The sequence below is a fragment of the Homo sapiens genome, chromosome 5 (genome assembly GCF_000001405.40).
Source record: "Homo sapiens chromosome 5, GRCh38.p14 Primary Assembly".
Taxonomy (NCBI): domain Eukaryota; kingdom Metazoa; phylum Chordata; class Mammalia; order Primates; family Hominidae; genus Homo; species Homo sapiens.
This window is the reverse complement of record NC_000005.10, coordinates 8,333,103-8,345,280: the sequence shown is the minus strand read 5'-3', so window position 1 is coordinate 8,345,280 and position 12,178 is coordinate 8,333,103. Positions and strand designations below refer to the sequence as shown.

Genomic DNA, 12,178 nt, shown 5'->3' with positions numbered 1-12,178 from the left:
TGGACAATGAAGTCCTGGCTGTGGTGGTTTCAGATGGAGATAAGGAACTTTTTGGGAACTGGAGTGAAGGTCACACTTGGTATGCTTTAATTAAGAGACTTCTGACATTTTGCCTGTGCCGTAGAGATCTGTGGAACTTTGAACTAGAGAGAGATGATTTGGGGAATCTGGCAGAAGAAATTTCTAAGCAGCAAAGCACTCACATGAAGTGACCTGGTTGTTTTTAAATACAAGTCTATGCTCACATGCATTCATAAACAGATTGGAACTTATGTATAAAATGGAAGCAGAGCATTAAAGTTTGGAACTTCTGCCCTGACCATGCGGTAGAAAAGAAAAACCCATTTTCTGGGGAGAAATTCAAGCCTCTGGTTGCAGAAATTTGCATAAGTAAAGATGAGTTGAATATTAATAGCCAAGACAAAGGGGAAAATGCCTCTGGGGCATTTCGGAGATCTACACTGCAGCCCCTCCTATCACAGGCCTGGAGGCCTTGGAAGAAAAATGGTTTCATGGGCCAGGCCTAGGACCCCGTTGCTCTGTGAAGCCTTGGGAAATGGCACCGTGGGTCCCAGCCACTCCAGCTCCAGCCATGCCAAAAAGGGGCCAAGGTACAGTTCAAGCCATGACCTCAGAGGGTGCAAGCCACAACCCTTGGTGGCTTCCATGAGTCAGGCCTGCCAGTGCACAGAAGGCAAGACTTGAGGTTTGTAAACCTCCACCTAGATTTCACAGGATGTATGGAAACCTCGGGATGTCCAAGCAGAAATATGTTGGAAGGGTGGAGACTTTATGGAGAATCTCTACTAGGGCAGTGCAGAAGGGAACTGTGGGGTTGGAGTCCCCACAAAGAGTCCTCATTGGGACACTATGACATGGACCTGTGAGGATAGGGCTACTATCCTCCAGTACCCAGAATAGTAGATCCACTGACAGCTTGCACTGTACACCTGGAAAAGCCACAGGCACTCAATGCCAGCCTGTAAAATCAGCCATGGGGGCTGCACCCTGAAGAGCCAAGGGCATAGCTGCCAAAGGCCTTGGGAGCCCATCCCAGCATAACATGGGTATAAGACATGGAATCAACAAAGATTATTTTGGAGCTTTAAGATTTAATGACTGCCCTGCTGGGTTTCAGAATTGCGTGGGACCTGTGGCCCCTTTGTTTAGGCCAATTTCTTCCATTTGGAATGGGAACATTCACCCAATGCCTGTACTCCCTTTGTACGTTTAAAGAAACTAACTTGCTTTTCTATTTTACAGCCTCATAGGTGTAAGGGACTTGCCTTGTCTCTGATAACACTTTAGACCTGGACTTTTGAGTTAATGCTGGAATGAGTTAAGACTTTGGGGGGACTGCTGGAAAGGTATGATTGGTTTTAAAATGTGAGAACATGTGATTTGGGAGGGGCCAGAAGTAGAATGATATGGTTTGGCTTCGTGTCCCCAACCAAATTTCATCTCGGATTGTAATCCCCACACCACATGCTGTGGGTGGGGGCCTGGTGGGAGGTGACTTAATCATGGGGGCAGACTTCCCTCTTGCTTTTCTCATGATAATGAATGAGTTCTCAAAAGATCTCATGGTTAATTTGTGTGTGGGACTTCCCCGTTTGCTCTCTCTCCTACTGCCATGCAAGATGTGCTTTCTTCCCCTTCACCTTCTGCCTTGATGAGAAGTTTCCTGAGGCCTCCCCAGCCATGTAAAACTGAGTCAATTTAACGTCAGTTCTTTATAAATTGCCCAATCTCAGGTAGTGCTTTATAGCAGTGTAAAAATGAACTAATACAGGTTTTTTTAATCTGATTCATTTTTAGAACTTATTAGTCTGTTCTGAATTTCAATTTTTTTCTGGTTAATTCTTGGGTGGTGGTATGTTTCCAGTAGTTTATCCATTTCTTTTAGATGTTCTAGTTTTTGTTAACAGGGGTATTCATAATAGTCTCTGAGGGTTTTTTTTCCCCCCTGTGGCTTCAGTGGTAATGTCCTCTTTGTCATTTCTCATTGTATTTATTTGGACCTTATTTTTTTATTAATCTAGCTAGTAGTCTATTGATCTTGCTTATTCTTATGAAGAATAAACTTTTGGTTTTATTGATCTTCTGTATGGATTTTCACATCTCAATTTTGTTACATTCAGCTCTGATTTTGTTTATTTCTTCTGTTAATTTTGGGGTTGGCTTCCTCTTGTTTTTCTAGTTCCTCCAGGTATAATGTTAGATAATTAATTTAGGATCTTTCTAACTTCTTGATGTAGGCATTTAGCAGTATAAACTTTCCTCTTAACTTTGTCTTTGCTGTGTCCCAGTGATTCTGGTATATTACATTTTTGTTTTCATCAGATTCAAAGTTTTTTTTAAATTTATGTTTTAATTTCATTCTTTGCCTCAAAGTCATTCAAGATTGGGTTGTTTAATTCCTATATACTTATATGGTTTTGAGAAAGCTGCTCGGTATTAATTTCTATTATTATCGTGCCATAGTCTGAGAGTGTAGTTGGTATGATTGCACTTCTTTGAATTTTTTGAGAATTGCTTTATGGATGTATGTGTGGTCAGTCTTAGAGTATGTGTCATGTGCTGATGAGAAAACTGTATACCCTGTTGTTGTTGGGTGGAGTATTAGATAGATTTCTGTTTGGTCCGTTTGGTCAAGTGTCAAGTTTAGGTCCTGAATATTTTTGTTAGTTTTCTGCCTCAACAATCTGTCTAACATTGTCAGTGGGTATTGAAATCTCCCACTATTATTTAGTAGTTATCTAAGTCTCTTCAGAGATATCTAAGAACTTGTTCTATGAATCTGGATGCTCCAATGTTGAGTGCATATACATTTAGAATAGGTAGGTCTTCTTGTTGAAATAAATCCTTTATCATTAAATAATGCCCTTCTTTGTCCTTTTTGATTATTGTTGGTTTAAAATCTATTTTGCCTGAAATAAGAATAGCAGTTCCTGCTCTTTTTGGTTCTCCATTTGCTTGATAGATCTTTCTCTATCCTTTTACTTAGAGTTTATTGGTGTCACTGCATATCATATGGGTCTCTTGAAGACAGCACACAGGTGGATTGTTCTTTTCTATCCAACTTGCCACTCTGGGCCTTTTAAATAGTGCATTTAGCTGATTTACATTCAAGGTCAATATTGAAATGTAAGGATTTGATCTAGTCACTGTGTTGTTAACTGTCTGTTATGTAGACTTGATTGTAGAGTTGCTTCGTAGTGTCAGCAGACTATGTACTGAAGTGTGTTTTTGTGGTGGCCAGTATCCGTCTTTCATTCCCATGTTTAGCACTCCCTTAGGAACCTCTTGTAAGGCAGTTCTGGTGGTAAAAACTTCTGTAACATTCGTTTATCTAAAAAAAAAAATCTTTCTTTTGCTTATGAAGCTCAGTTTGTCTTGTTATAAAATTCTTGGTTGGAATTTCTTTTCTTTAAGGAGGCTGGATATAGGCTTCTAATCTCATCTGGCTAATAAGGGTTCTGCTGAAAATACGTTGTTAGCCTGATAGCATTCCCTTTTTATGTGGCCTGCCCCTTCTCTCTAGGTGCCTTTATAATTATTTTTTCTTTTGCATTGACCTTGGAGAATCTGATGACTACGTATCTTGGGGGTGGTCATCATGTATAGCGTCTCTCTGGGGGTTCTCTGAATTTCCTGAGTTTGCATGCCAACATTTCTAGCAAGGTTGGAGAAATTTTCGTGGCCAGTATCTTCAAATATGTTTCCAAGTTTCTTGCTCTCTCTCTATCTCCTTCAGGAATGCCAATGATTCATAAGTTTGTTCTCTTTACATAATCTCCTATTTCTCAGAGGTTTTGTTCATTTTTAAAAATTCTTTTTTTAAATTTTTTGTATGCCTGTGTTGATTTGAAGAAGTGATCTTCAAGTTCTGAGATTCTTTCCTCAGATTGGTCTATTCTATTAATGCTTCCATTTGCACTATGAAATTCCTGTAGTGGGTTTTTCATTTTCAGAAGTTTAGTTTGGTTCTTTCTTAAAATGGCTATGTTGTCTTTCAGCTCTTGCATCATTTTACTATTTTCCTTGGATTGGGTTTCAACCTTTTCCTGTATCTCATTGAGCTTCCTTGACATCCAGATTCTGGATTCTATGTCTGTCATTTCAGCCACTTAAATCTGGTTAAGAACCATTGCTGGGAAGCTAGTGTTATTTGGAGGTAAAAAGTCATTGTTGTTTTTAGAGTTGCCAGAATTCTTGTACTGTGTTTTTTGTTTGTTTTGTTTTGTTTTTCCCCTCATCCATATGGGCTGATGTTCTTTTAACCTTTAAAGTTGCTATCCTTTAAATGGGGCTCTTTGCTTTAATATTATTTGGTGCCCTCTAGGGCTTGGCTGTGGTATAAGCTGCATTTAGTTGATTGGTTTCATTTCTGAATCTTTTCAAGGGAGCAAGGTTCTGGTCAGCGCTCCCAGGCTGCCTGCTCCAACCCTGATGGGGGGCTGGGACCAGGCCTGTTTCTTTGTTCTCTGGCCCTTCAAGGTCAAGCACCTTCTGTGCTGGAGGGGCTGATGTGTTCTCAGTCTGTTGGCATAACATTCCAATGGGAGCTGCCAGCAAAAATGCTTCGGTGGGAAGGTAGTAGGGGGCCCATGGGAGAGCGCACTGTGGTTGGGGGGTATAGGAAAGCGCACATCAGTAGGGTGGCAGGGCAGCCGTGGGTGAGTGCACATTGGCAGAGAAGCATGGGGGTAGCAGGCATGTGTGCACCAACAGGGTGGTGGATGGGCTGTGCATGGTAGTGGAGCATTATAAGAAGGCTGCAAGTGCTCCTGCAGGGGAAGGCTGTAGATGAGTGCACACCAGCAGGGATCTGCCTGCCAAAGCGCTCTGAGGGGAAGGCAGGGGCTGCCAGTGAATGAACTATGGCACAGTAGCTTCTGTCAACTGTTTCAGCAGAGCAGCTGAGGCTGTGCTGAAAAGGGGTGTGGCCAGCTAGGGCTCTTGGGGGAGGCTGGCACACAAGGGATCTTCAGATCAGATTGGCCCCAATCTGTGGGAAGGGCAGCCCTGCTCTTTCCAGGTCTGGCCTCTAACAATGGCTAATGCCACCTACAGGACTATGGTGAGCCTCAGCCAGGAATGAGTCCCAGTGCTCAGCAACCTTGCGCACAGTTCCCACCTTTCTCCCCTTTCAGCCCCAGGGTCTGCATCCTCCCTCTGTCCATTCTCAATGCCTTCTTTCTGAGGATTTGTTCAGAGTGTACCTGTCTACTGGGTGGTTTAGTCTCTCCTGGTGGGAGATGCTCTTTCTGGCTGCGTCTAGTCGGCCATCTTCCAGAGATTATCCTTGAAGATACATGCTAATTATGACAGGTAAACAAAGGGTCTGTATGAAGGGCATTTCAGGGAGAGAAAGGTTTGAGATAATTTGGTATATTAAGTTGACGAAAAGGTTGACAAAATAGAGAAAACAGAATTTGATGTGCACAACTTAAAAAAGAAAATGTGGAACAGGCAATCTGAGTATGGAGTTAATATGATCTTTTCTCCTTTGGCTTTAGGACTTCATCTTTAATTACCTTTCTAACTCTATTTCCGTGGAAATTAGATAAAGGAAGAATTTCAATGACATCAAAAGACAATATTGATTATGGGGAAAAAGACCCTTGACTGGCAAATTTCTGCAGCCTAAGAGAACTAAATAAATGCCTGGCAAGATGCTAGAGCTATGGGCTTCCCAGAGTGTGGTGACTCTTGGTGCTGGCATGTTCTTACAGAGACCTTGGAAGCTGTAACTGTGGAATTGTAAGACATTTGGCTACTGTGCAACATGAGGCTTTTAGGCCAGCGAGGAACCTCCACTCATATATGAATCTCATCTCTCTGCACCTGAGCTCTTACATGAGTCAGGGGTAGAAAGCAGCCAAAAGAATGCCCACCTGACTGCTGAAACAGTTGCAGAGACTGATGCAAGAGCTCCCATAGGTCCCCTGATTCTATCTTGCTTGCTGTCAAGAATTATGAAGTCTCCGAAAATTTCCTCTACTTGCAAACTAAGAAGTTATCCTTTCACAGTTGTGTAGATGCTGGCAGAGGATATGAGAGTTCTAGGTTAGAGACAAAGAGATTCATTTTCATCAAGGCACAGCAGGAAGCATTACCTGCATATTCACACAGGTTTTGAATCCTCCAGCCCCCAAGGGGCATCACAGGTGGGTCTGGGTAGATGCTGTGCATGCAGAGGTGGAGAGTTTGTCTTACAGCTGATAAACCCAGAGCTCAGGAAACATCAATTTTTTAAATAATGGGCAGCAAGCAGATCTGCCCAACTTTTACATTATCTTATTACATTGGTGGCAAAACAACCCCATCTTCTGCTCCAGAGCTAGATACTGTCTCTGTCTATCAATTCTCTTTGCTAGATGTAGTAGTCTGCATCCAGTCATGAGATACAAATCATACCACCGTTAAAAAGGAGATGTTTAATAAAAAGAATTATTAAATTTGATTAAAGGCTAACTATACAACATAAGAAAACTCTATATGGTGCCCTAAGGCTAAGGGAGAGCACCCAAGGAAGAACAAACTCAGAAGGAGTTAGGCCTCACTGAAAAAGGCATAGTTTAACCAGCAGATAGTGGAGAAGTTTTCAGTGTTGCCAGGCTGGAGCTGGTCTGGAGTTGCTTTTGAAAATATCAGAATCCTCTCTGCCATGCAGGAGGGAGTGCAAATGAACAGCAATCTGCACAGGCAGGCAGTGGGATCCTGGGTGCTGGTGGAGGCAGAGAGCCTTCCAATACATGGATTTCACAAGGTGGTGGTGGTGGGAGGAGGGGTTTGCAGGAGGGACAGAAGGTGACATTCAGGTGCAGGTGGCCACATGGAGACTTGCAGAGGGAGTCCTGGCATCAGCACAGTCAGGAGGCCTTGGAATCAGGCAGATGTTGGGGGATTCTGGTTTCTTGGTCAAGATGGTTGTGGAAAGGTTATTACCAGGCCAAGTCTGCAGGATGCAGAAAGACCACATCCTAACTGTGGCTGTGGCAGACCCTCCTGAGGTCCTCACATCTACATCTTCACCTCGCTCCACACTGGAATTGTAGGAAGTCTTTTCCTCTTGCAGAGTCCCAAGTGTCTTCTACTAAAAGCCTCAGAATCACACTGGCTTTCAAGGAGAAAGGTTGAAAAGAATCCCATTGTTTATCCTAGAGCAACATTGCAGAGTGCATTGGAACCGCGTGGCCATCCATGGATAACCAGTGCGTCACACATCGTGCTTGACAAGACAGTCACAACAGAAGGTGTGTGTGCAAGACGTGCAGAAACTCCTTGGAGAGCTGTCTCTTCACACTCATGCTGTGGCTTCTGCCCTGTGTAAGCACAGTGGGTGCCAAGCATGGCTCGTGGTGATTCTGCACATCTTAATTTAGTTGGACCTAAGAATATCCTTCAGTGGGTATTACAAGTACATGGTGGCAGACCACAAAGAGATACAGATGCAATGCTAAGTCTTTTATCCTGAAGATGATCAAGGGTCAGTTTACTACAGTTCCCTAAGGAATAGTGGTTACTAGCTTAAGTGTGATGCTTTTTACAATTGAAAATGAAGTGTAGGTATAATACTAGCAAAGAGTAATAATATAATATCTTTTATTTCCACTATGTGCCAGGTAGTATATTTGGATTTTTGTTTCTTCGTTTTTGGTAGTTGGCCCTCACAGACACATGTAGCCATATTTTTGCAGAGAAGGAAATAGAGGCTCAGCAAGCAAGTCAGGAACTTTTCAGCATCACACAGTTAGGAAAAGAAGGAGATGGAAGCAGGGCATTCTCTGTGTCCTTCCACCTGAGCAGCTAACACTGATGGCCTTTCCACAGTGCAGGCTACATAAAGTGTGTACATTTCAAACTTTCAAAAAATAGAAGCAGGAAGAACGCAGAATGAAAATCGCTGGGGCTCTTGGCCTATGTTGATTAGTACCCCTGACTGTTGATCACTATTCCTTTCCATGTTTGCCTGGAAGATGGCCTGACAGCACCTGTCTACAGTACAGTATTGAGGCACACAGGACCTTGGAAATAAAAGGGAATATTACAAATACTGCAGAGACACAAGGATTAGTTGTTTGTTTGTTTAAGGTAAGCAGAGATGAGCAATTTGCTTTTCGGATTCCAAAAAAGATTTGTTCTCCTTCTTTAAAGCAGCAATTCACGCCAGAGACCTAAGTGAGCTGTCATTTTCTCTGAGTGTTTTCTTTTTTTCATAGGCACCAGTCTACATCTCCTGGCTGACTAACGCATCAAACAAAGCAGGCTTAGGTAAATTGAAAGAGAGAAGCTCTCCTGAGTCCAACTTATGTTTTTCTGGCAACAACTGAGCTCACTCGATTAATACTTAAGGAGAGCACTGCATTGAGGCACAAGTGCTAGCCCAGCCAGGGATGCTCTCAGCCATGGCTGCACACGACAATCATCAGAAAGCCCTTTCACACTGGGCAGGGTGTGCTGCTTTTTAAGTATTCCTTGGCGATTTTCACCTGCAGTCCAGGTTAGCCATTGTATAATTTGAACAGCACTGAAACTCAGGAAAAATTAACCTTCAGTATCTAATATAATCGGGTTTATTCAAGAGTATCCTTTTCTGTAAAATAGAAAATTAATAAATTATCTAGCTTTGAAATCAGGTTATCCTAAATAATAGACCTGCAATTTAAGGAATTCTGAGTTTTCCAAATTTCTTGATGACTATGATGTTTGGTCATTTGCAAATAGCTAGGCCTTTTAGAAAAATCTGAACTGTCTCTTTGGAAATTGTCAGTATCAAAATGGAGTCATTTATGTTAAAAAAAAATAAAGAAAAAAAAAAACTCTAACAAATAGAGCTGAGGAAAGCTATCAAGAAAGAGTTCTCATGTTTGTATGCCTGACAACAAAAACTATCACAAAACATTGCAAAAACCACATCCTTGCACAAACGCTTTCAGGAACTTACACCAAAAAATACTTCTGCGAGGACATCACCCCAAAAACTGCTTGTCCAACCTTGGAGTAGCATCATATTTGTTATTGATCAACATAGCCAAGAATAATCATTTTAAAATAATTATGTAATACTCTTCATTTTTTCTTTAAAAGCATAGCCTTCCTTTACCTCCCTGAATGTGTACATAGTTTACTAAGGCACACATGTGCCCTTTGCAATGCCCATGCCTCAATAAATATCTTTTACTTTTAGAGAGCCTCTCTCTGTTTGCTATTTAGGTTGACACATCCATGTTCAATATTTTTAAGTTAATGTTAATTGTGTCAACATGGATGTTGTGATCACATAGAGATTAATTATGTTCAGATAATGAGCTCAGCTTCTACCACCAACTTCAGCACTCTTCTACTACCTCCTGCTGGAGATGGCCATGCAAAGTGTTGCTGTTCTTAAAAGTCTGGCATGCAAAGAGAGAAATAAATAAATAGAATTGTGATTTAAAGGTTTTTTTGTTTGTCTTTTAAGGAACAACTTTCTGGGAGCCAAACATGCCATAGCAAATCCAACAGATCATTCAGCAAATTTAACTTCATGATCTTCAATGTATTACTTCGGTAGATTTAACCACATTTCCCAAAGACTGACAGGTTCATTTTTTGATTCATGATCTACTTATGCCAAGACCTTCTGCTTTTTTTTTTTGAGACGGAGTCTTGCTCTGTCGCCCAGGCTGGAGTGCAGTGATGTGATCTCGGCTCACTGCAAGCTCCACCTCCCAGGTTCATGCCATTCTCCTGCCTCAGCCTCCCGAATAGCTGGGACTACAAGGCGCCCGCCACCACGCCTGGCTAATTTTTTGTATTTTTAGTACAGACGGGGTTTCACTGTGTTAACCAGGATGGTTTCGATCTCCTGACCTCGTGATCCACCCGCCTCGGCCTCCCAAAGTGCTGGGATTACGGGCGTGAGCCACCGTGCCCGGCCTACTTATGCCAAGACCTAAAAGAAACTTTTAAATCCCTATTTATTTCATTAATTGTCTTGTAAGACAATTCATGAAATTGACCTGTAAGACAATGGGTCAATGAAATTTGAAGTAAATTTGTACTCAATCTGTTAACCACATCTTACAAGGCTCATCCATCCCAATGCCTTGAAGAAATCTCTTGTCACAGACTGCCTGCTAATCGTGGGGCATGAAACAACTTGTAAGAATATGGCAACATAGAGATTTGTGGAAATTAAATGCCTGCTCTTTTAAAAACCTGACTGTAATTAGTTTGTCTAATTGTTTAAGGTCAGAATATCTTTGATATGCCAGCTCCCAGTAATTTCACTTCAGGAATAAAGAAAAGAAAAAAGAAACCTGAGATAAAGATACTGATTCCTGAAGCAAAATGCTTGTCATATATTAGAAACGGAAAAATCTTCAATTAATAAATAACCAACCATTGAAACTTACATCATGAAAAAGTTGTGTTTGTTTTATAAAAATTGAAATGTTGGATAACTATTGAAAATTAAGAGAATAATTTTGATTGAGATGTTGAAAATAATTATTTAATACTATAATTATTCATCAATTCTATAAATATTACCCTTTTTTCCAGGGAGTAACATCCAGAAGAAACAATTAGTAATATTTCTTTACTGCTTGAGTACATTTTATCATCAGATGGCCAATCATATAACTGGGTTTATTCAAGAAATTTTTTTCTGTAAAATATAAAGTGAATCACCTATCTAATTTTGATAACAGGTAATCTTAAATAATAGACCTCATTACAGAGTCATGTCCATGCAAGTACTTGTTATACAAGCAATGTGTTTACACCCTTCACTTTGGACTGCATGAACTCAGGTATCTTCATCTGTGTGCAACAGAAAGCCCAGGGAGCAGCAGCTTAAACCATAAGAGCATATACTGTTTACCTGAAGAGAGAGAAGGTGGTTCCAAGTGCTCTCCAAAGCCCCATGATGTCAGGACATGGGTCAGCATCTCTACAGCTCTCCTGCTTCTCTCTCATGGGTGCAAAGTGGCTTCTCACATCTCAACATGCCAAGGCAGGAAGCTGGGATACAAGGGCAAGGAGAGAGCTCCTCTCTTCTACAGAGAAGGAAACATCTTTCCCACAAGCCTGGCACCCTGCCCTTCACTCTCCATGTGATGGGACCACAAGGCCCCTCCCAGCTGCAGAATGTTGGGGAAGAGGGTGCCTGATTCTCTGGCTTCTGTAGCTGGAGGCAGGCACTGGAGAAAGAGATGGGAATGGCCAATGGGTAGCCATTTCTATCGTGATACAGTCAAATAACAGGACTTTTAAAAGGAAATAATTTCTTGAGAATAGCAGAGCACACCAGTATGCTCGAATAAAAATGGTAACTGGATTTCCTGAACTGTTAAATTAAACATGCATTGCTGATTTCCTCTTTCTGCAGCTGCTCTGCTTCTAACTATCCGTCTCTTCTGTCTGTGGCTCAAGATCCATCATCTTTAGAATATAAAATCCTTCTTATGGTTTTATTTGTCCTTTGTTTGCTGGTCCCTCCTTGCCTGCCTTCAATATTTTTGGCTTTCTTCCCTTGCTTTGCTGGGATGTGTGATTTATCCTATCACCGGAGATCTCTGTGAGAAAGTACTGGATGTTTATTTGCCTGCATATGTCAGAAGCTCCAGGCAGGGCTGCCTCGTCCCACAACTTCAGGGGAGCCATTCATTTCCATGTGCCTTGCACAGCCTGTGCGGCCACAATCGGCAGCACTGAGTTTGGGCAACAGAGAAATGGTTTCACTGGAAAAGACACAGTTTTAAATTCCCCTTTCCAAAATAAATCTATTTTCAGCATTATCACTCCCACTGCCTCTACCTTGGCTTGTCTTTTTGAGTCTTCTTTGAATATCACGGTCACCTCCTAAGTGGCCTCCCTGTAATCAGTCTTTCTTCCCTTCATTCTACCCTACAAATATCTATTGCCTCCCACTATACGCAAGACATCAAAACTGCTTGGTGCAGCCTTCAGGTTACTTTTTTGGCTTCTGGCTTGAATTATTTCTCTGTGCCCATGAGCCATCTCACTGTCACTCCAGTGAGCTCCTCAGCTCCTCACTCCCTCCCTACCCACTCTGCCTGCCCATTTCTTTACCCACTCCTGCTGCTGGGATAATGTCCTGCCCAGTTTTCTTCTGAACTGTCCATCTCTAGTGAGCAGTGGGCATTTCCTCCTGGGGAGCATA

At 41.8% G+C, this 12,178-nt stretch overlaps 1 long non-coding RNA gene across 1 annotated transcript in view; it reads left to right on the top strand.

The window, feature by feature from the left end:
• LINC02226 (long intergenic non-protein coding RNA 2226) overlaps positions 1-11,798 on the top strand; it is a 124,082-nt gene extending 112,284 nt beyond the window's left edge. Inside the window, exons 4-6 of the long non-coding RNA NR_039984.1 lie at positions 7,986-8,100; positions 10,555-10,703; positions 10,829-11,798. This is a non-coding gene — a long non-coding RNA (long intergenic non-protein coding RNA 2226). The remainder of the gene's footprint in view (positions 1-7,985; positions 8,101-10,554; positions 10,704-10,828) is intronic.
• The last annotated feature ends 380 nt before the right edge of the window (positions 11,799-12,178 follow it).